The 20,008-nt window shown below is 37.4% G+C and overlaps 1 protein-coding gene and 1 long non-coding RNA gene across 10 annotated transcripts in view, besides 1 other annotated feature; both read left to right on the top strand.

The window, feature by feature from the left end:
- The window catches only part of PRORP-PSMA6 (PRORP-PSMA6 readthrough), a 195,633-nt gene that overhangs the window by 37,478 nt on the left and 138,147 nt on the right, over window positions 1-20,008 (top strand). The window lies entirely within an intron of this gene.
- The window catches only part of PRORP (protein only RNase P catalytic subunit), a 155,784-nt gene that overhangs the window by 37,478 nt on the left and 98,298 nt on the right, over window positions 1-20,008 (top strand). The window lies entirely within an intron of this gene.
- Window positions 627-921: an enhancer, noted in NCBI's record as "tiled region #10139; HepG2 Activating DNase matched - State 5:Enh, and K562 Activating DNase unmatched - State 6:EnhF". NCBI's record gives its function as "activates a minimal TATA promoter and a strong SV40 promoter by Sharpr-MPRA in HepG2 and K562 cells {active_cell/tissue: HepG2 | K562}" and the evidence as "EXISTENCE:reporter gene assay evidence [ECO:0000049][PMID:27701403]".

Consider the following 20,008-nt stretch of genomic DNA (forward strand, 5'->3'; position numbering starts at 1 on the left):
TTTTCCCCTCATCTAAAATATACTTCTACCTCCAAATCCTGTTTTTCCTTCGTGACTATCTCAGTCCCTTTTCTGTCACACAACCTTTTTTGACCCCTGTAGTCTGCATTTATCTTTTCTTCCTTTGAACTTGTAGCATTTATTAACCCTGGCACACATCTGGCTATTGATCCTATACTATGTGTTCTTTTTTTAGTGTTGTTTAGTTTTTCATATCAGTATCTATTGTTATTTCAACCAGATTAGAAACTCTGAGGGACAGGACACCCTTTTTCCTATTTTCCACAATGCTTGGCATCCAGTAGGTGTGTAATAAATACAGTTATTTATACATTAAATAATCCAGTGCTTACATTTATTATGTCATAGCTACCATTTCAGTTAATCTTTACAATAACTTTGAGGGAATGAGTATTTTCTCTCCTTGACAAATGAGGAAACTGAGGCTCAGAAAAGTTCGGTAACTTGCTGAAACCACACAGGTTAAGTGATGAAGTCAGGATTCAGACCCACATCTTTGGACTCAGTAACACTTGCTGTTTAACCATACTGGTAATTCTGCCTCCTTATGAGACTGGTGTATGTTTTCTGAGGATGGGAAATTACCTAACACTTAGCTTACTATTATTTGCTTGATAATGGCAGAAGAAAAGGTGTGCAAACCTGGATTCGTAGTGATTCCTAGCAGGAATAATGAAACAGATTCAAACTGTGCCAAAGTTCACAGGAAAATAGAATTTCCCTTAATCTCGTTGATTACTGGTGGAATGACTCATCTTCCAGTTGTACGTTGCTCTTGAGTTACTCAGATATTTGTATAAGTTAGACAGCGGAGGGAAAACCACTGATGAGATGTACAAGACACGTCATTTGAGCTGATGAATGTTCCTGGGATATCCCCAAGATTTCTACCTGAGTATTCCTGCCTGTCCTATTTACTGTTGGACTCTTTCACCTTTTGGTTTTCTTTCAGAGTAAAATCACTTCCCATTTCCTTTCTGCTTTCCACTTGGATAACTTTCACAGGCTACTCTGTTACTACTGCAGTGCACAAAGATTTACTGTCTACATATTTAACATTAGTCAGATTTACTGTTGAATTTATGCACTAGAAATTTCAGGAATTTAAATTTTTCCTTTTTCATTCTCTTCTCTGCTTCCGATTTTTTTCACTAAAAGAGGACAAAAATTGCCCAAACTATTTTCTTTTTTTAAAAAATTAGCAATAGAATTGAGTATAGATGGTAGTAAATTCTGCTTCATTTCTGTGGGAACATTGAAAACTTGATGGCTTCTGCAAGTGACTGATAAATTGTTTCTGCTTTATAAAGAAAGGAAACAGCTCATTCAACTCAATGAAGTCATTAGTAAACTGGGAATTAGAAATAAAGATTCTGTATTTTTTTGTTGTCATTAATTTGGTCTTTCTGTCTGCATCTGTTTTCTCACAAGTTTGTTTTGAGGATAGATCAGAAGACATATGCACATTGTAAAGCATAAAGTAATCCTTAAGGATGCACTACAGGCAATCCTCAGCCAAAAAACATGATTTATGAACCATGCATACATGCATACTACAAAGGGATCGATCTTACCTCAGTCTAGTGCCCTTTGAAGGCGACAAGCTAAATGGTCTTTTTGGCCCCTGAATCAGAATACCTGGAAACAACTGAAATGTAGACATATTTTTCTTATACATGTGGAAGCAGTTAGGTTATGGGTCCTTTCAGGGATTCATCTACTCTACTGCCATGTGAAGACCGGAGCCCATTTCTCAGTCAGGAACAGGAAGCAGGCAAAGTTACTTTCCTGGTATCCAGTGTTAAAACCCAAAGAGTTATAAATGTTGACAAACTATTGGTAAAACTTGTGGTATTATTATTTACCTAAAGCACATACAGGGGCTTTTATAGTATAGACTTTTTACAGTCAAATCATTTAATTTTCTTGAGTCCTTACAATAGCCCTTCGAAGTATGTGTTAATAACCCCACTTTATTCCTGAGGAACGTAAGGCCCAGAGAAGTGAAGCGATTTGATCGGTGAAGGGGCTTAAATTTTCTACACATTTCCTTCCAAGGACGAAGGGAAGTTAGACACTGTGTTGGCACTTTAGAGCAGATTCTGGGTTAGGTGTGAAGCAGAGGGGATTTCCAGGGTGTGTAAGCATGGACAAACTCCTTGAATGAAAGCAGAATTTTTTCTTTTTTTAAAGTAGTTAACAGCATTTTGGGGTTTGCAGGACTCAGGCTGTGTTACTGCCTTTTTTATTTTTTGGCCTGATTTGTTTCTTTCTAATTTGGGAGCAAGATTTTATAATTAAAAATATATTGCCTTTTGCCCTTTCTTTGAGCTATTCTCCATAAATCTGTAAGAATATGATATGAAAAGGAAGAAGAGTGGGATTAAAAATAATATAGCTGATTCTGTCTAGAAATTTAATTTCTAAACTATCTTTACCTGAGTTAGATCTATTTCTCCAAAGATCAGTCAAGATTTAAGAAATAACTTTAAACTTGTAAGTAAATTCTTTTCTATCTGGAATTTACAGGATAATGTATTAATACTTGGAAATGATACCTAACTGCTAGGGAGCATGCATCTTTAGCTCATGATTCTAGATGATTGAGAATTTTTTAGGGAAACTTTTTCAGTCCTTCATCTAGTTGATAGTGGGCTATCATTTTATATTTCTAGATTGAAAAATAGGTTATCTTCTTTCTCCTTCCTCTCTCTCCTCTTCCCCTTCTCTTTTTTCTTCTTTCTAGCTGTATGGAATGACCATAATTTAATTATTCATTGAGTCTCCTATTAACGAGTATTTAACTTGTTTCAAATCTTTCACTATTACAAAAGTGTCACAGTGAATCATCTTACACATTTGTAATTTCTCACATATTCCAAGATAGATATAAGATAGATTCCCACAAATTGAATTGCTAGCACAATGGAGACATATTAATTTTGATTGGCCTTCATGGAAATTTTAACAGTATATACTGTGATCAGCAAAATATGAGAATTCTTTCTCCGCACCTTGAAGATTCAGTGTGTTATCAAACATTTTGATCTTTGCCTATATGAAGTAAAAAAATAAAATTGCAGTATAGGATTAATTTACAATTTTCTTGGAGTGTGGTGGAGCATATTTTCATAGGTTTAAGAGGCACTTATATTTATTTTCTGCAAACTGCTCCTGTCTTGTCTGTTTTTTGAGTTATTGACTGTTTTCATATTAATTTTAGGAGCTCTTTATTTGAAAAATCATCTGTGATTTAAATTACAATTTTTGAGGCTTATTTTTTTTCTCTATGTATACTTTAAAATATTCGAATTTGTCAGACTTTCCTTTTATGGCTCCTGGGTTTCATATTTAGAAAGATTTTTTCTGTTGCAAGGTTATTGAAAAGCCAACAAACACAAAAAACTTCCTTTTGCTCCCTTCACTTTTGTTGTTTTTCTCTAAATTTTTCATCCATTTGGAATTTTTTTCTGATGTGAGGTATAGTTCCAACTTAATTTCCTCCCCAGCTAATTAGCCAATTGTGTCAACATCATTTAACAACCCATATTTTACCCCACTAGGGATAAAGCGGGATGTTACTTTTAGCATATACCAAATTCTTCATATAAATATTTAGGTCTCTTTTTGGACTTTCTGTTCTGATTCACTAATCTGCATTCCTAACAGTATGACACTATTTTGATTATTGTAGTTTTATGATATATCTAATATCTATTAGAGCTAATTTTTATAACTTGGGTTCTGGCACTTTCTTTAATAAACTTACCAGAGGTAAATATTATAGGCCTCTGATAAAATGTATTAATAATGCTCCCTGGGGCAAAATCATGTTTTATATATGTGACAGAGTCCTATTACCCGTGGCTTTTAAGCGTTTTTTAACACAACACAGATACAATATACATTTTATGTAATAATACATTTATAAATGAAAAAAAATGTATACATAAAAAAATTATGTACTCTTGCTGTATTTGTTGCACTCTATTTTAGTTCTGTTTATTTCTCCCTGAAATGCTGGTTGCAACTGTATTAAATTGATCTCATGACCTAGTAAGGTGTTGTGACCTGCAGTTAAAAAAACACCTTATTATTTGATGTTGTAATCATAGCCATTCTAACTGGTTTGAGATGGCATCTTATTGTGCTTTTAATCTGCATTTCTCTGATGATTAGTGATATTGAGCATTTTTTCATATGTTTATTAGCCACTTGTATGCCTTCTTTTGAGAAGTGTCTGTTCATGTCTTTTGCCTGTTTTTTAATGGGGTTATTTGTTTTTTGCTTGTTGAATTAAGTTCCTTGTAGATTCTGGATATTAGACCATTGTTGGATGCAGTTTGTAAATATTTTCTCCTATTCCGTAAGTTGTCTGTTTACTTTAATAGTTTCTTTTGCTATACAGAGGCTCTTTAGTTTAATTAGTTAATTAATTAGGTCCCACTTGTCAATTTTTGTTTTTGTTGCAATTGCTCTTGGGGACTTAACCAAAAATTCTTTGCCAAGGCTGATGTCAAGAAGGGTATTTCCTAGGTTTTCTTCTAGGATTTTTATAGTTTGAGGGTATACATTTAAATCTTTAATCCATCTTGAGTTAATTTTGATATGTGGTGAAAGGTAAGGGTCCAGTTTCATTTTGCTACATATAACTAGCCAGTTATCTGAGCACCATTTATTGAATAGGAATTCCTTTCCCCATTGCTTGTTTTTGTTGGCCTTGTCGAAAATCAGTTGTATGTGAGTGTGCAGCTTTATTTCTGAGTTTTCCATTCTGTTCCATTGGTCTCTATATCTGTTTTTGTACCAGTATGAGGCTGCAGAGAAAAGGGAATGCTTATACACTGTTGATGGGATGTAAATTAGTTCAGCCACTGTGGAAAGCAGCTTGGAGATTTCTCAAATAACTTAAAACAGAGCAACCATTTAACTCAGGAATCCACTGCTGGGTGTATACCCAAAGGGAAATGGATCATTATACCAAAAAGACACATCCACTCATATGTGCATTGCTGCGCTACTCACAATAGCAAAGACGTGGAATCAACCTAGTGCCAATCAGTGGTGGACTGGATAAAGAAAATGTGGTACTATACACCATGGAATGCTATGCAACCATAAAAAAGAACAAAGTCATGTCCTTCACAGCAACATGGATGGAGCCGGACGCCATAATCCTAAGCAAATTAATTCAGTAAGAGAAAAGCAGATACTGCAAGTTCTTACTTATAAATGGGAGCTAAACATTGAGCATACATGGACATAAACATGGGAACAACAGACACTGCAGACTGCTAGAGGGGGTGGGGTATGGGTTGAAAAGCTACCTACTGGGTACTGTGTTCACTACCTGGGTACAGTATACCCATGTAACGAACCTCTACATGGATCTGCTGTATCTGAAATAAAAGTTGAAATACTGAAATAAATAAAAATAAGGAAAAAAGAAAAATCCTTCATTAGACATATCCAGGTGAAATTCCATTAGTCCTTATTAGTCTCTTTTGGGGAGGGAGTAGGGGAGTGGGAGTGATGTATCTCCTTAAATAAAATAGGGAGACCACATCAAAGAAAGTAGGATTTCCCAGCCAAAAAAAACTCATGAAGGACGTTTGCAAAGTTTCTCTCCCATTGTTTGCAGGTACCTTGCAGGGAAGGGCAGCAGTCTTGATTGGCACGCCTTGCTTAAGAATACAGGCCACACTATTAAAATGTACCGTATAGGAAGAAGGAAATAACTATTATAGTGCATGTGCCAAGAGGTTTAGGCCCCGTGTGTAAACTACTCCATGATCCTTAAACATAGTTGTTTTGATGTCTTCTGGCTTTTGGGATTTCTAGCTTGAATTTCTTAGTTTTGAGATGGGGTCTTACTACGTTGCCCAGGCTGACCTGGAACTCCTGGGCTCTGGCAATCTTCCTGCCTCAGCCTCCTGAGTAGCTGGGGTCCAGCTTGATTTCTGTTGCTCTGAGGGATAGTACAAGAGAATGAACTTCTGGGTTTTGAACCCCAAGTTCACCATTTACTAGTTAGGTGATCTGCTTAACTTTTCTATGCTTTATTCTCCTAATCTGTTAAGTGGGAAAAATGATAATATCTACCTCATACCATTGTTACAGCAATAAGAAAGTATATGTAAAGCACTTAGAATTTTTGTTTCTTAATAGCATTGTGATCTACATGGCACATGGAAAGCACTATGTAAGTTTATGATATTATTTATTTGACTTGGAAGTGTGTAGGATTTTTTTCTTTAATCTCACAATTAAACATTTTGTGAGGAGACGATTAGGTGATTTTTTTCATTTTTCCCAGAGTCTCATGTCATGTGCCCTTTAAAATGTAAGGTTTTTTTTTTGGAGACAGAGTCTTGCTCTGTTGCCCAGGCTGGAGTGCAGTGGCATGATCTTGGTTCACTGCAACCTTCGCCTCCTGGGTTTAAGCAATTCTCCTGCCTCAGCCTCCTGAATAGTTGGGATTACAGGCACCTGCCACTACGCCCAGCTAATTTTTGTATTTTTTGTAGAGACAAGGTTTCACCATGTTGGCCAGGCTGGTCTTGAACTCCTGGCCTCAATGGATCTACCCACCTCAGCCTCCCAAAGTGCTGGGATTACAGGCATGAGCCAGTGTACCTGGCCAAAAAGTAGGTATTTTTTAATCTCGGGGAAGTTATATTTTTTTTAAAAAAAAGATTCTTCTTCTTTTTGTTTTGATTTATTCCTTGAGAACACCCTTCTGAGGCTTAAAAGTTGGATCTCTGTTCTCTGTCCCTTATATCCATAATGTTCTTTTTCTTAACATTCTTTTTCTTCTTTTCTTCTGCACTGAAGTAGAATTTCTCAAAATTTGTGCTGCATTTCATGAAATACATGTTCTAGTATATTAGTTCTAATCTTTACTGCTTTCAAAGCATATTTAAATTCTGCTGTTGCATTTTTTTTCATTTCTATTTTATTTTTGGATCTCTTTGCATCTCTTGCTATTCTCTCCTTAAAGCTTATTGCTCTTTCTTCATAGATGCAACCGAATTTGTCCTCTTCTTTGAGGGATCCAGGCAGAGGTCTTCTAAATTGTATTTGAGTTTCAGAACATGCTTTTATCTGAATCTTTTTTTTTTTTTTTTTTTTGAGATGGAGTCTCGCTCTGTCGCCAGGCTGGAGTGCAGTGGTGTAATCTAGGCTCACTGCAACCTCTGCCTCCTGGATTCAAGCGATTCTCCTGCCTCAGCCTCCCAAGTAGCTGGGACTACAGGCGCGTGCCACCACGCCCAGCTAATTTTTTTGGTATTTTTAGTAGAGACAGGGTTTCACCATGTTGAGCAGGATGGTCTTGATCTCTTGACCTTGTGATCTGCCCTCCTCGGCCTCCCAAAGTGCTGGGATTACAGGTGTGAGCCACTGTGCCTGGCCTATCTGAATCTTTAAGGCAAAGCTCCTAACGTATCTTTCATTGGCCTGTGATAGACTTTTTCACCCTATTGAATTATCCTTGAGAGAAGAGATCCATTAATGCTCAGCATATGCCATTAGGTAGATGGGCAGAGTGTACTTACCCCTTCATTGTCCCTTCGGATGCTGGCAGTTTCCACCTTTTGGATCTAGACTCATCAGGATATTACTCCAGTTTATCTGGTAAGCTGCATGAAGATGGGGCATTTTTCCTCTCTGGCTTCTCAAGTCAGATGCCATTTATAATTCTTCTCTGAACAGCTTATGAAAGATTATTCCTTGGTGTCATGTGCTTGTCTTATCTTACTTTCAGTCCCGTTACCTGCTTATACCACTTCTCTTTAGATGATAAAGTGTTCAAAGATGCTGTATTTGCCTAACTCTCCTGCCTTGAAGGTTAATTATTTTATTAGGATAGAAGAAAACAGCTAACGGACCACCTGGATTGAGTGGTAAAGTAAACTTGCTTGAGAGATGTTTGACATGCGGTAAGGAGACCATCACTGTTTTTTCTGTTTATTGCAGCCTTTTTTCTTAAAATTGAGTTAAAGTATTTTTTCTGCTTTACTTTGAGTCACCTCTACTCTTTTTTGTCTCCAAAGCTGGAGAAATGCGATAAGATAGTTTGTCTCAATAAATTACCATTGATTACTATTGGTCATTTGGTTAGGAGAACTCTCCCAAACATCTCTTCTCTTTAGTTTACAGTACTGTTGCCAGTTTAAAATTTCTCTAGCCTCCATGTTAGTTGTTAGCTTACAATGATACTTTTTAGCCACGTGGCTTCATTTTCCCCTAGCTACATTAAGGCAGTCATGTTAATGTTCTTATTTAGGATCTATTTGGCTTCCATGGTTTAAAGAATGCACAGGAAGTAATTAGATACAGAGATGGATTTTTTATTTTTGTTCGCATGTTAAGAGCACTGCTTCCAACCAAAAGAGCTGGTATTCCCCTGTTTTTCCACATCTGCTATGACTAAAGCCAGTTGCTTTAATACCGAATTCACAAAGACCTTTCTCACTTAATGTCCTACTCTAGCAAATAAGAAGAAATAAGTGGAAAACAATAATGCATACTCAAAACTTTGCATAAAAAGTAGTGATCGTCACATGTTAACTATATCCATGTGCTGCAGACACCAGATAATATTTTCTAAGGATTAGAAGAAAAGGAGTATTAAAGCAACTGGCTTTAACACATTTTTCCCCCATTCATTCATTAGTTAATAGACACTTGAATTGTTTTCGGTTTTTGGCAATTAGGAATAAAGCCACTGTTAACATTCACATATAAGTCTTTGTGTGGGTGTGTATTTTCTTACTTCTTCTGTGAATACTCATAAATGGGACTGCTCAGTTATATGATAAATATATGTTTAACTTTGTAAGAAACTGCTGAATTATTTTCCAAAGTGGTTGTACCATCCCGCATTCCCATCAGCAATGTTTGGAAATTCCAGTTGCTCCACATACTTGTTATGGGTCAGTCTTTTTAATTTCGGCCATTCTAGTGGGTGTATAATGATTTCTTGCTATGGTTTTAAATTTGCGTTTTCCTAAAGACTAATGATGTTGAGTATTTTATAATAGTTATTGGACCAAAGGGAGTTCTTCATCTTTGTAACATTGATATAATAAGATTATTTAATTGCTAGTTGATACTCAGGTTTTGTCACTTGTCCCAATAATGTCCATAACAAGCTTTTCCTTCCTCTAGATCCAAACTATGACCACACATTGGGTTTAGTTGTCATGTTTCTTTGGTTTCTTTTAATCTCAGTTTTCTTTGTCTTTCTTAGACCTCAACTTAAAAAAAAATAATAAAAAAGCATAGGCCTATTATTTTGTAACATGTCTGTCAATTTGGGTTTATCTGATATTTCCTTATGATAAGATTCAGGTTGGTATTTTTGGCAAGAATGTTACAGAAATTATCTTATAACCTTTTCAAGGGCATTGTATCAAGGACCCCCGTATGTGACTATTAGTGATGACTTTGTATGTTGCCCAAGAAATTTATGCCTATTCTAATGTTGCTAATAATTTTCCTGTTTTCTTCTAGAATTTTCATAGTTTCGGCTTTTAAGTTTATGAACTATTTAGAAATATTTTGTGTGTGTGATGTGAAATAGGGATTGAGGTTCATTCATTTTTTTTTCAACTTTTTGCCTTATTAGCTTTTCCTATTTCTTTGATTTCTGCTTATTATTATTCTACTTTCTTTGAAATTTAATTTGCTCTTCTTTTTCTACCTTTTTAAGTTGAAAACTTAGGTCAATGTTTTATGACCTTTCTTTCTTTTTTTTTTATATAAGTATTTAAAGCTATGTATTTCCTGCTAAGTACTAGTATACTGCATCCCATGAATTTTGATATGTAATTTTTATTATCACTTAGTTCAAAATATTTCCTAATTCCCTTTGTAATTTTTTTGACCCTTGGGTTATTGAGAACTGTATTTAGGAATACTTGGGGCTTTTATAGATATTTTACTGCTAGTGGTTTTTTGTTTAAGTGTGTGTCTGTGTGTATATGTGTGTGTATGTGTGTATCAGCAACTATAAAGATCTCAGTATTTTGAAATGTATTGAAACTTATTTTATGGTTAGTCTATTCTCACACTGCTATAAAGAACTGCCTGAGCGTGGGTAAATTTACAAAGAAAAGAGGTTTAATTGACTCAAGGTTCTGCATGGCTGGGGAGGCCTTAGGAAACTTACAATGATGGCAGAAGGGGAAGCAGGCATGTCTTACACGGCAGCAGGCAAGAGAGTATGTGAGAGCACAGGAAAAACTACCGTTTATAAAACCTTCAGATCTGGTGAGAATTCACTCACTATCACGAGAACAGCATGGAAGAAACCACCCCCATAATCTAAACACTTTTTACCAGGTCTTCCCTTCAACACCTGGGGATTACAATTCAAGGTGAGATTTGGGTGGGGACACAAAGCCAAACCATATCAATGGCCTACTTGTGGTCTGTCTTAGTAGATGTTCCATGTGCACTTGAAAAGGAATACGTAGTCTGCTATTGTTGGGCATAGTGTCCTACAGATATAGATTTGTCTTCGAAGTCCTCACTGATTTTTATCTACTTGTTCAATCAATTATGCAGAGAAGAGTGTTGAAATCTCCATCTGTAATTGTAGAGTTACCTGTTCCTCCTTTGTTCTGTCAGCTTTTCCTTTATCCACATCTTGAAGCTCTATTGTTATTTATGATATGACTTTGATGTATTGATCCTGTCATCATTATGAAATGTCCCTTCTTTTTGTAGTATTCCTTTTCTTCAAGTCTATTTTGTCTAACATTAGTGTCACCATTCCAAGTTTCTTAAGCTTATTGATGCATGATACATATTTTTCCCTACTTTTCACTTTCCCCTTATTCTGTATTAAAGATAAGTACATCTATTATAGATAGCATTTTTTATAAGGTTGGATTTAAGCATTTTATTTTGCTATTTGTCTTCTATTTATCCCATCTGCTTTTTGTTCTTCTGTTTCTCCTTTGATGTCTCCTTTTGGGTTAATTGAATTTCTTTTAATTTGTCATATAATTCATCTATTGGCTTTTATCTATACCTTTTTGCTTTTTTTTAAACTTTTAAAAAATTTTATCAACTCTGGCCTACAGATCTACATTATTTTTTAAATGTATGATTTGGGCTTTACAATCTGAATCCTTAACTTAATTCAGTTTACTTACAGTTTATATTGAACGATTTCACATGAAATATAAGAACATTATAGCAATAGAATTCCATTTACCACTTCCTGGTCTTTGTGCTATTGTTTTATTGTAGCTTAAAACATATATTACATGTGTTTTAAGCCCCATAATATAGTGCTATGATAATTTTTGCTTTAAGTAGTCACATGTCTTTTAAAGAAATTGAAAGAATAAAAAGTATATTCTTTTTTATAAATATCCACATCTTTACCATTTTATTTTTGGTGTTTTTTCATTTCTTCCAAGTCTAGGTTTTCATCTGATATTATTTCCCTTCAGCCTGAAGAAATTGCTTTAGCATTTCTTTCTTTCTTTTCTTTTTCTTTTTTCTTTTTTTTTTGTGACGGAGTTTCACTCTTGTTGCCCAGGCTGGAGTGTAATGGCGCAATCTCGGCTCACCGCAACCTCTGCCTCCCCGGTTCAAGCAATTCTTCTGCCTCAGACTCCCGAGTAGCTGGGATTACAGGCGTGTGCCACCACACCCAGCTAATTTTGTATTTTTAGTAGAGATGGGGTTTCTCCATGTTGGTCAGGCTGGTCTTGAACTCCCGACCTCAGGTGATCCACCCACCTCGGCCTCCCAAAGTGCTGGGATTACAAGCATGAGCCACTGCACCTAGCCTTCTTTCTTTTTTGTAGAGACAGTATCTTGCTGTGTTGCCCAGGCTGGTCTTGAATTCCTGACCTCAAGTGATCCTCCTACCTGGGCCTCTCAAAATGCTGGGATTACAGGCATGAGCCATGGCACTGGCCAGCTTTAGCATTCCTTATGTTGCAGGCTTGCTGGTGATGAATTATCTGTTTTCATTTACCTGAATATATCTTTATTTCACCTTAATTGTTTTTGGCAATTTTTGAAGGATATTTTTACTAGATATAGAATTGTGGATTGAAAGCAGTTTTTTGTTGTTGTTATTTTATTTGTTGTCTGTTATCCTTTTAAAGATGTTCTCTGGCCCCATTGTGTCTGATGAGAATTAAACTGTCATTTGTATCATTATTCCTTTTTATGTTATGTATCCTTTTTTTCTGACTGCTTTTAAGATTTTTCTATTTTTGATTTTCATCAGTTTTACTATGATGTGCCTAGTTATAGTTTTACTTATGGTTTTCTTTGTGTTTATTCTGCTTTGAGTTTGCTCTGCTTCTTGGGTAAGTTATGTATTTCATCAAATTTGGGGATGTTTTGGCTATTCAAATACTTTTTATTACTCTATCCTTTCTATCCTCTCCTTCTAGACTGTAATTACACATGTTAATCTGTTTGATATTGTACCACAGGTTACTGAGACCCAATTCATCTTTTTGCTTTCATTAAATTGTATAATTTTTTGTTGCTCTGTCTTTCATGTTCACTGACTCTTTCTTCTGCCATCTCCAATCTGCTGTTAAATCCACCCTAGGAATATTTTATTTCACATTTGTGCTTTTTGGTTCTGTAATGTTCATTTTGTTAATTTTTCTAGTTTACAGTCTCTGTGGAGATTTTCTTTCTTTGCATTAATTATGACTATATTTACTTCTAATTTTTTTTTTTTTTGAGATGGAGTTTCACTCTGTTGCCCAAGCTGGAGTACAGTGGTATAATCTTGGCTCACTGCAACCTTCGCCTCCCAGGTTCAAGTGATTCTCCTGCCTCAGCCTCCCAAGTAGCTGGGATTACAGGTGCCCACCACCACATCCGGCTAATTTTTGTATTTTTAGTAGAGACGGGGTTTCACTTTATTGGCCAGGCTGGTGTCGAACTCCTGACCTCAGGTGAGGCACCTGCCTCAGGCTCCCAAAGTACTGGGATTACAGGCAGAATTCTTGATTATATTTGCAATAGTTACTTTATAGCTCTTGTCTGCTAACTCAGGCATCTACACTTTGGATTGGTTTCTTTCTTTCCTTCCTTCCTTCCTTCCTTCCTTCCTTCCTTCCTTCCTTCTTTCTTTCTTTCCCCTCTTTCCTTTCTTTCCCTTCCTCTCTCCCTCTCTCCCTCTCTCCCTCTCTCCCTCTCTCTCCTGTCCTCTCCTCTCCTCTTTCTTTCTTTCTTTCTTTTCTGAGAGTCTCGTTCTGTCACCAGGCTGGAGTGCAGTTGCATGATCTCAGCTCACTGCAACCTTCGCCTCCCGGGTTCAAGCGATTCTTCTGCCTCAGCCTCCTGAGTAGCTGAGACTACAGGTATGCACTACCATGCCCAGCTAATTTTTATTTTTAAGCTAATTTTTTTATTTTTAGTAGAGACAAGCTGTCACCATGTTGGCCAGGATGGTCTTGATCTCTTGACCTCGTGATCCACCTGCCTTGGCGTCCCAAAGTGCTGGGATTACAGGTGTGAGCCACTGCGCCCAGCCAGTTTCATTTTTTTTTTTTGGAGATAGAGTTTCTCTCTGTTGCCCAGGCTGGAGTGCAGTGGCGTGATCTTGGCTCACTGCAACCTTCACTTCCCAAGATCAAGCAATTCTCTTGCCTTAGCCTCCTGAGTAGCTGGGATTATAGGCATGCACCACCATGCCTGGATAATTTTTATATTTTTAGTAGAGATGAGGTTTCACCATGTTGGCCGGGCTGGTCTTGAACTCCTGACATCAAGTGATCCACCCACCTGAGCCTCCCAAATTGCTGGGATTACAGGCTTGAGCCACTGTGCCCAGCCCAGATTAGTTTATTTTGAATCCCTTTTTTCTTGACTGTGGATCACATTTCTGTATTTCTTTTCATGTTTATTAATTTTCAATTGTGTATCAGACATTGTGAATGACACATTGCAGAGGCTTTAGAGATTATCTATGTTTGTCTAGAAATTATTGATTTTTTGCTAATTTAGCAGGCTGTTAAACTTCTTTAGACTTAGACTCCAAACTGTCTCCCTTGCAGTGGGTAGCAGCTGAGATCTCTGCTTAGGTCTTTCAAGTCTTTCACCTGTTGCTTTTTTGCTGGGCTTCTTGGAATCTTCTCCAAGCATGTGCAGATCATGTTTTACCCAAGGATTTGAGGAGATTTATGTGCAAATTTTGTGGTTTTATCCTTTCTAGGATTCCCTGTCATTTTCCAGCCTCTGGTTGCCCCAAACTCTGTCTTCTGTTTCCTCAAACCAGTAAGTTCTGCAGCTTTCTGCTTGATTTCCAGCTGTTCCTGCTGGCCATACTGTCTGGAGATTGCCCTCTGACCAAGACAAATTTTACCTGGTATAATTCCCTTCTTTTCTTTCCTTTATTTTCCCAAATATAGTGGCTTTAAAAAAACGCAATCATTTATTACTATTATTATTGTTGTTCTCTCTCGTGGTTCTAGGGGTTGATGAGACTCAATTGATGCTTCTTGCTTGGGTCTCCTATTGTAATCAAATAGGGGCTGGGGGTCATCTTGAAATCCCCCTCAGTCTCATCGGTGTGGTGATTGATGCTAGCTGGCTGTTGGCTGGGACTCCGTTGGACTGTCAGATGGAACACTTACATATAACGTCTACTTGGGCATTCTCAGGATGGCTGGTTTCCAAGAGCAAGCATCCTGAGAGTGACAGCCAGATGAAAGCTGTATTATCTTTTATTTCCTAGCCTCAGAAATCACATAATGTCACTTCTGCCACATCCCACTCATTGAGGCAGTCACAAAGGAGAGCCCATATTCAAAGCATAGGGTATTAGACATCACCTTTTGAGAGGGGAGTGTCAACTAATTTTCAGACAGATTTTAAAACTACCAAACCTTCAAATGTCATGTCCCCTCCAGTTTCTGCCTGCTTTTGCTCATTCTTTGGTACTTTGAAATAGTTGGGTATTTATCTAGAATTTATATTATTATCTAGTAGTCCAGTACAAACTATTCCATCATTACCAGAGGTAGAACTCCCTCCCCTATTTTTTTCTCCATAGCATTCTCACATTTAATATTATTTACTTATTGACTTCGTTTATTTTCTGCATCCTCCCACTAAGCTCCATTAAGTTGGGGTTTTTTTGTTCTGTTTTGTTTTGTTTGTCCCTTTGGTAAACTGCTAGGCATGTAGTAGGTGCTCAGCAAATATTTGTTGAATTAATGATTGGCTGAATCTTTACCTCTCCAAAACAGCCATAGGTAAATAAAAGCCTCTTAATGACAAAAGAGGACCTATACGTTTTACAGCCTTGTTCTTTCAGCACGGTTGTACTGGTAGAGTGGCATACCTAAGGTTCACTCCTCCTTGGCCTACAGAACAGGACTTAGAGATTTTGACAGTTCATTCTTCTTTTTTTTTTCTTTTTTTTTTTTTTATTATACTTTAAGTTCTAGGGTACATGTGCACAATGTGCAGGTTTGTATACATGTGCCATGTTGGTGTGCTGCACCCGTTAACTCGTCATTTACGTTACGTATATCTCCTAGTGCTATCCCTCCCCCCTCCCCCCACCCCACGACAAGCCCTGATGTGTGATGTTCCCCTTCCTATGTCCAAGTGTTCTCATTGTTCAATTCGCACTTATGAATAAGAACACGCGGTGTTTGGTTTTCTGTCCTTGCAATAGTTTGCTCAGAATGATGGTTTCCAGCTTCATCCATGTCCTTACAAAGGACATGAACTCATCCTTTTTTATGGCTGCATAGGATTCCATGGTGTATATGTGCCACATTTTCTTAACCCAGTCTATCATTGATGGACATTTGGGTTGGTTCCAAGTCTTTGCTATTGTGAACAGTGCCGCAATAAACATACATGTGCATGTGTCTTTATAGCAGCATGATTTATAATCCTTTGGGTATATAACCAGTAATGGGATGGCTGGGTCAAATGGTATTTCTAGTTCTAGATCCCTGAGGAATCGCCACACTGTCTTCCACAATGGTTGAACTAGTTTACAGTCCCACCAACAGTGTAAAAGTGTTCTTACTTCTCCACATCCTCTCCAGCACCTGTTGTTTCCTGACTTTTTAATGATCGCCATTCTAACTGGTGTGAGATGGTATCTCATTGTGGTTTTGATTTGCATTTCTCTGATGGCCAGTGATGATGAGCATTTTTTCATGTGTCTGTTGGCTGAATAAATGTCTTCTTTTGAGAAGTGTCTGTTCATGTCCTTTGCCCACTTTTTGATGGGGTTGTTTTTTTTCTTGTAAATTTGTTAGAGTTCTTTGTAGATTCTGGATATTAGCCCTTTGTCAGATGAGTAGATAGCAAAAATTTTCTCCCATTCTGTAGGTTGCCTGTTCACTCTGATGGTAGGTTCTTTTGCTGTGCAGAAGCTCTTGAGTTTAATTAGATCCCATTTGTCAATTTTGGCTTTTGTTGCCATTGCTTTTAGTGTTTTAGACATGAAGTCCTTGCCCATGCCTATGTCCTGAATGGTATTGCCTAGGTTTTCTTCTAGAGTTTTTATGGTTTTAGGTCTAACATTTAAGTCTTTAATCCAACTTGAATTAATTTTTGTATAAGGTGTAAGGAAGGGATCCAGTTTCAGCTTTCTACATATGGCTAGCCAGTTTTCCCAGCACCATTTATTAAATAGGGAATCCTTTCCCCATTGCTTGTTTTTGTCAGGTTTGTCAAAGATCAGATAGTTGTAGATAAGCGGCATTATTTCTGAGGGCTCTGTTCTGTTCCATTGGTCTATATCTCTGTTTTGGTACCAGTACCATGCTGTTTTGGTTACTATAACCTTGTAGTATAGTTTGCAGTCATGTAGCTTGATGCCTCCAGCTTTGTTCTTTTGGCTTAGGATTGTCTTGGCAATGCAGGCTCTTTTTTGGTTCCATATGAACTTTAAAGTAGTTTTTTCCAATTCTGTGAAGAAAGTCATTGGTAGCTTGATGGGGATGGCATTGAATCTATAAATTACCTTGGGCAGTATGGCCATTTTCACAATACTGATTCTTCCTATCCATGAGCATGGAATGTTCTTCCATTTGTTTGTGTCCTTTTTTATTTCGTTGAGCAGTGGTTTGTAGTTCTCCTGGAAGAGGTCCTTCACATCCCTTGTAAGTTGGATTCCTAGGTATTTTATTCTCTTAGTAGCAATTTTGAATGGGAGTTCACTCATGATTTGGCTCTCTGTTTGTCTGTTATTGGTGTGTAAGAATGCTTGTGATTTTTGTACATTGATTTTGTATCCTGAGACTTTGCTGAAGCTGCTTATCAGCTTAAGGAGATTTTGGGCTGAGACAATGGGGTTTTCTAAATATACGATCATGTCATCTGCAAACAGGGACAATTTGACTTCTTCTTTTCCTAATTGAATACCCTTTATTTCTTTCTCCTGCCTGATTGTCCTGGCCAGAACTTCCAACACTATGTTGAATAGAAGTGGTGAGAGAGGGCATCCCTGTCTTGTGCCGGTTTTCAAAGGGAATGCTTCCAGTTTTTGCCCATTCAGTATGACATTGGCTGTGGGTTTGTCATAAATAGCTCTTATTATTTTGAGATACGTCCCATCAATACCTAATTTATTGAGAGTTTTTAGCGTGAAGGGCTGTTGAATTTTGTCAAAGGCCTTTTCTGCATCTATTGAGATAATAGTGTGGTTTTTGTCTTTGGTTCTGTTTATATGCTGGATTACATTTATTGATTTGCGTATGTTGAACCAGCCTTGCATCCCAGGGATGAAGCCCACTTGATCGTGGTGGATAAGCTTTTTGATGTGCTGCTGGATTCAGTTTGCCAGTATTTTATTGAGGATTTTTCCATCGATGTTCATCTGGGATATTGGTCTAAAATTTCTCTTTTTTTGTTGTGTCTCTGCCAGACTTTGGTATCAGGATGATGTTGGCCTCATAAAATGAGTTAGGGAGGATTCCCTCTTTTTCTATTGATTGGAATAGTTTCAGAAGGAATGGTACCAGCTCCTCCTTGTACCTCTGGTAGAATTTGGCTGTGAATCCGTCTGGTCCTGGACTTTTTTTGGTTTGTAGGCTATTAATTATTGCCTCAATTTCAGATCCTGTTATTGGTCTATTCAGAGATTCAACTTCTTCCTGGTTTAGTCTTGGGAGGGTGTATGTGTCCAGGAATTTATCCATTTCTTCTAGATTTTCTAGTTTATTTGCGTAGAGGTGTTTATAGTATTCTCTGATGGTAGTTTGTATTTCTGTGGGATCGGTGGTGATATCCCCTTTATCATTTTTTATTGTGTCTATTTGAGTCTTCTCTCTTTTCTTCTTTATTAGTCTTTCTAGCAGTCTATCAATTTTGTTGATCTTTTCAAAAAACCAGCTCCTAGATTCATTGATTTTTTTGAAGGGTTTTTTGTGTCTCTGTCTCTTTCAGTTCTGCTCTGATCTTAGTTATTTCTTGCCTTCTGCTAGCTTTTGAATGTGTTTGCTCTTGCTTCTCTAGTTCTTTTAATTGTGATGTTAGGGTGTCGATTTTAGATCTTTCCTGCTTTCTCTTGTGGGCATTTAGTGCTATAAATTTCCCTCCACACACTGCTTTAAATGTGTCCCAGAGATTCTGGTATGTTTTGTCTTTGTTCTCATTGGTTTCAAAGAACATCTTTATTTCTGCCTTCATTTCATTATGTACCCAGTATTCATTCAGGAGCAGGTTGTTCAATTTCCATGTAGTTGAGCGGTTGAGTGAGTTTCTTAATCCTGAGTTCTAGTTTGATTGCACTGTGGTCTGAGAGACAGTTTGTTATAATTTCTGTTCTTTTACATTTGCTGAGGAGTGCTTTACTTCCAACTATGTGGTCAATTTTGGAATAAATGCGATGTGGTGCTGAGAAGAATGTAAATTCTGTTGATTTGGGGTGGAGAGTTCTGTAGATGTCTATTAGGTCCGCTTGATGCCGAGCTGAGTTCAATTCCTGGATATCCTTGTTAACTTCTGTCTCGTTGATCTGTGTAATGTTGACAGTGGAGTGTTAAAGTCTCCCATTATTATTGTGTGGGTGTCTAAGTCTCTTTGTAAGTCTCTGAGGACTTGCTTTATGAATCTGGGTGCTCCTGTATTGGGTGCATATATATTTAGGATAGTTAGCTCTTCTTGTTGAATTGATCCCTTTACCATTATGTAATGGCCTTCTTTGTCTCTTTTGATCTTTGTTGGTTTAATGTCTGTTTTATCAGAGACTAGGATTGCAACCTCTGCCTTTTTTTGTTTTCCATTTGCTTGGTAGATCTTCCTCCATCCTTTTATTTTGAGCCTATGTGTGTCTCTGCATGTGAGATGGGTCTCCTGAATACAGCAACACTGATGGATCTTGACTCTTTATCCAGTTTGCCAGACTGTGTCTTTTAATTGGAGCATTTAGCCCATTTACATTTAAGGTTAATATTATGTGTGAATTTGATCATGTCATTGTGATGTTAGCTGGTTATTTTGCTCATTAGTTGATGCAGTTTCTTCCTAGCATCGATGGTCTTTACGTTTTGGCATGTTTTTGCAGTGGCTGGTACCGGTTGTATCTTTCCACGTTTAGTGCTTCCTTCAGAAGCTCTTTTAGGTCAGGCCTGGTGGTGACAAAATCTCTCAGGATTTGCTTGTCTGTAAAGCATTTTATTTCTCCTCCACTTATGAAGCTTAGTTTGGCTGGATAGGAAATTCTGGGTTGAGAATTCTTTTCTTTAAGAATGTTGAATATTGGCCCCCACTCTCTTCTGGCTTGTAGAGTTTCTGCCTAGAGATCCGCTGTTAGTCTGATGGGCTTCCCTTTCTGGGGAACCTGACCTTTCTCTCTAGCTGCCCTTAACATTTTTTCCTTCATTTCAACTTTAGTGAATCTGACAATTATGTATCTTGGAGTTGCTCTTCTTGAGGAGTATCTTTGTGGCATTCTCTGTATTTCCTGAATTTGAATGGTGGCCTGCCTGCTAGGTTGGGGAAGTTCTCCTGGATAATATCC

The sequence above is a fragment of the Homo sapiens genome, chromosome 14, assembly GCF_000001405.40.
Source record: "Homo sapiens chromosome 14, GRCh38.p14 Primary Assembly".
Classification (NCBI taxonomy): Eukaryota; Metazoa; Chordata; class Mammalia; order Primates; family Hominidae; genus Homo; species Homo sapiens.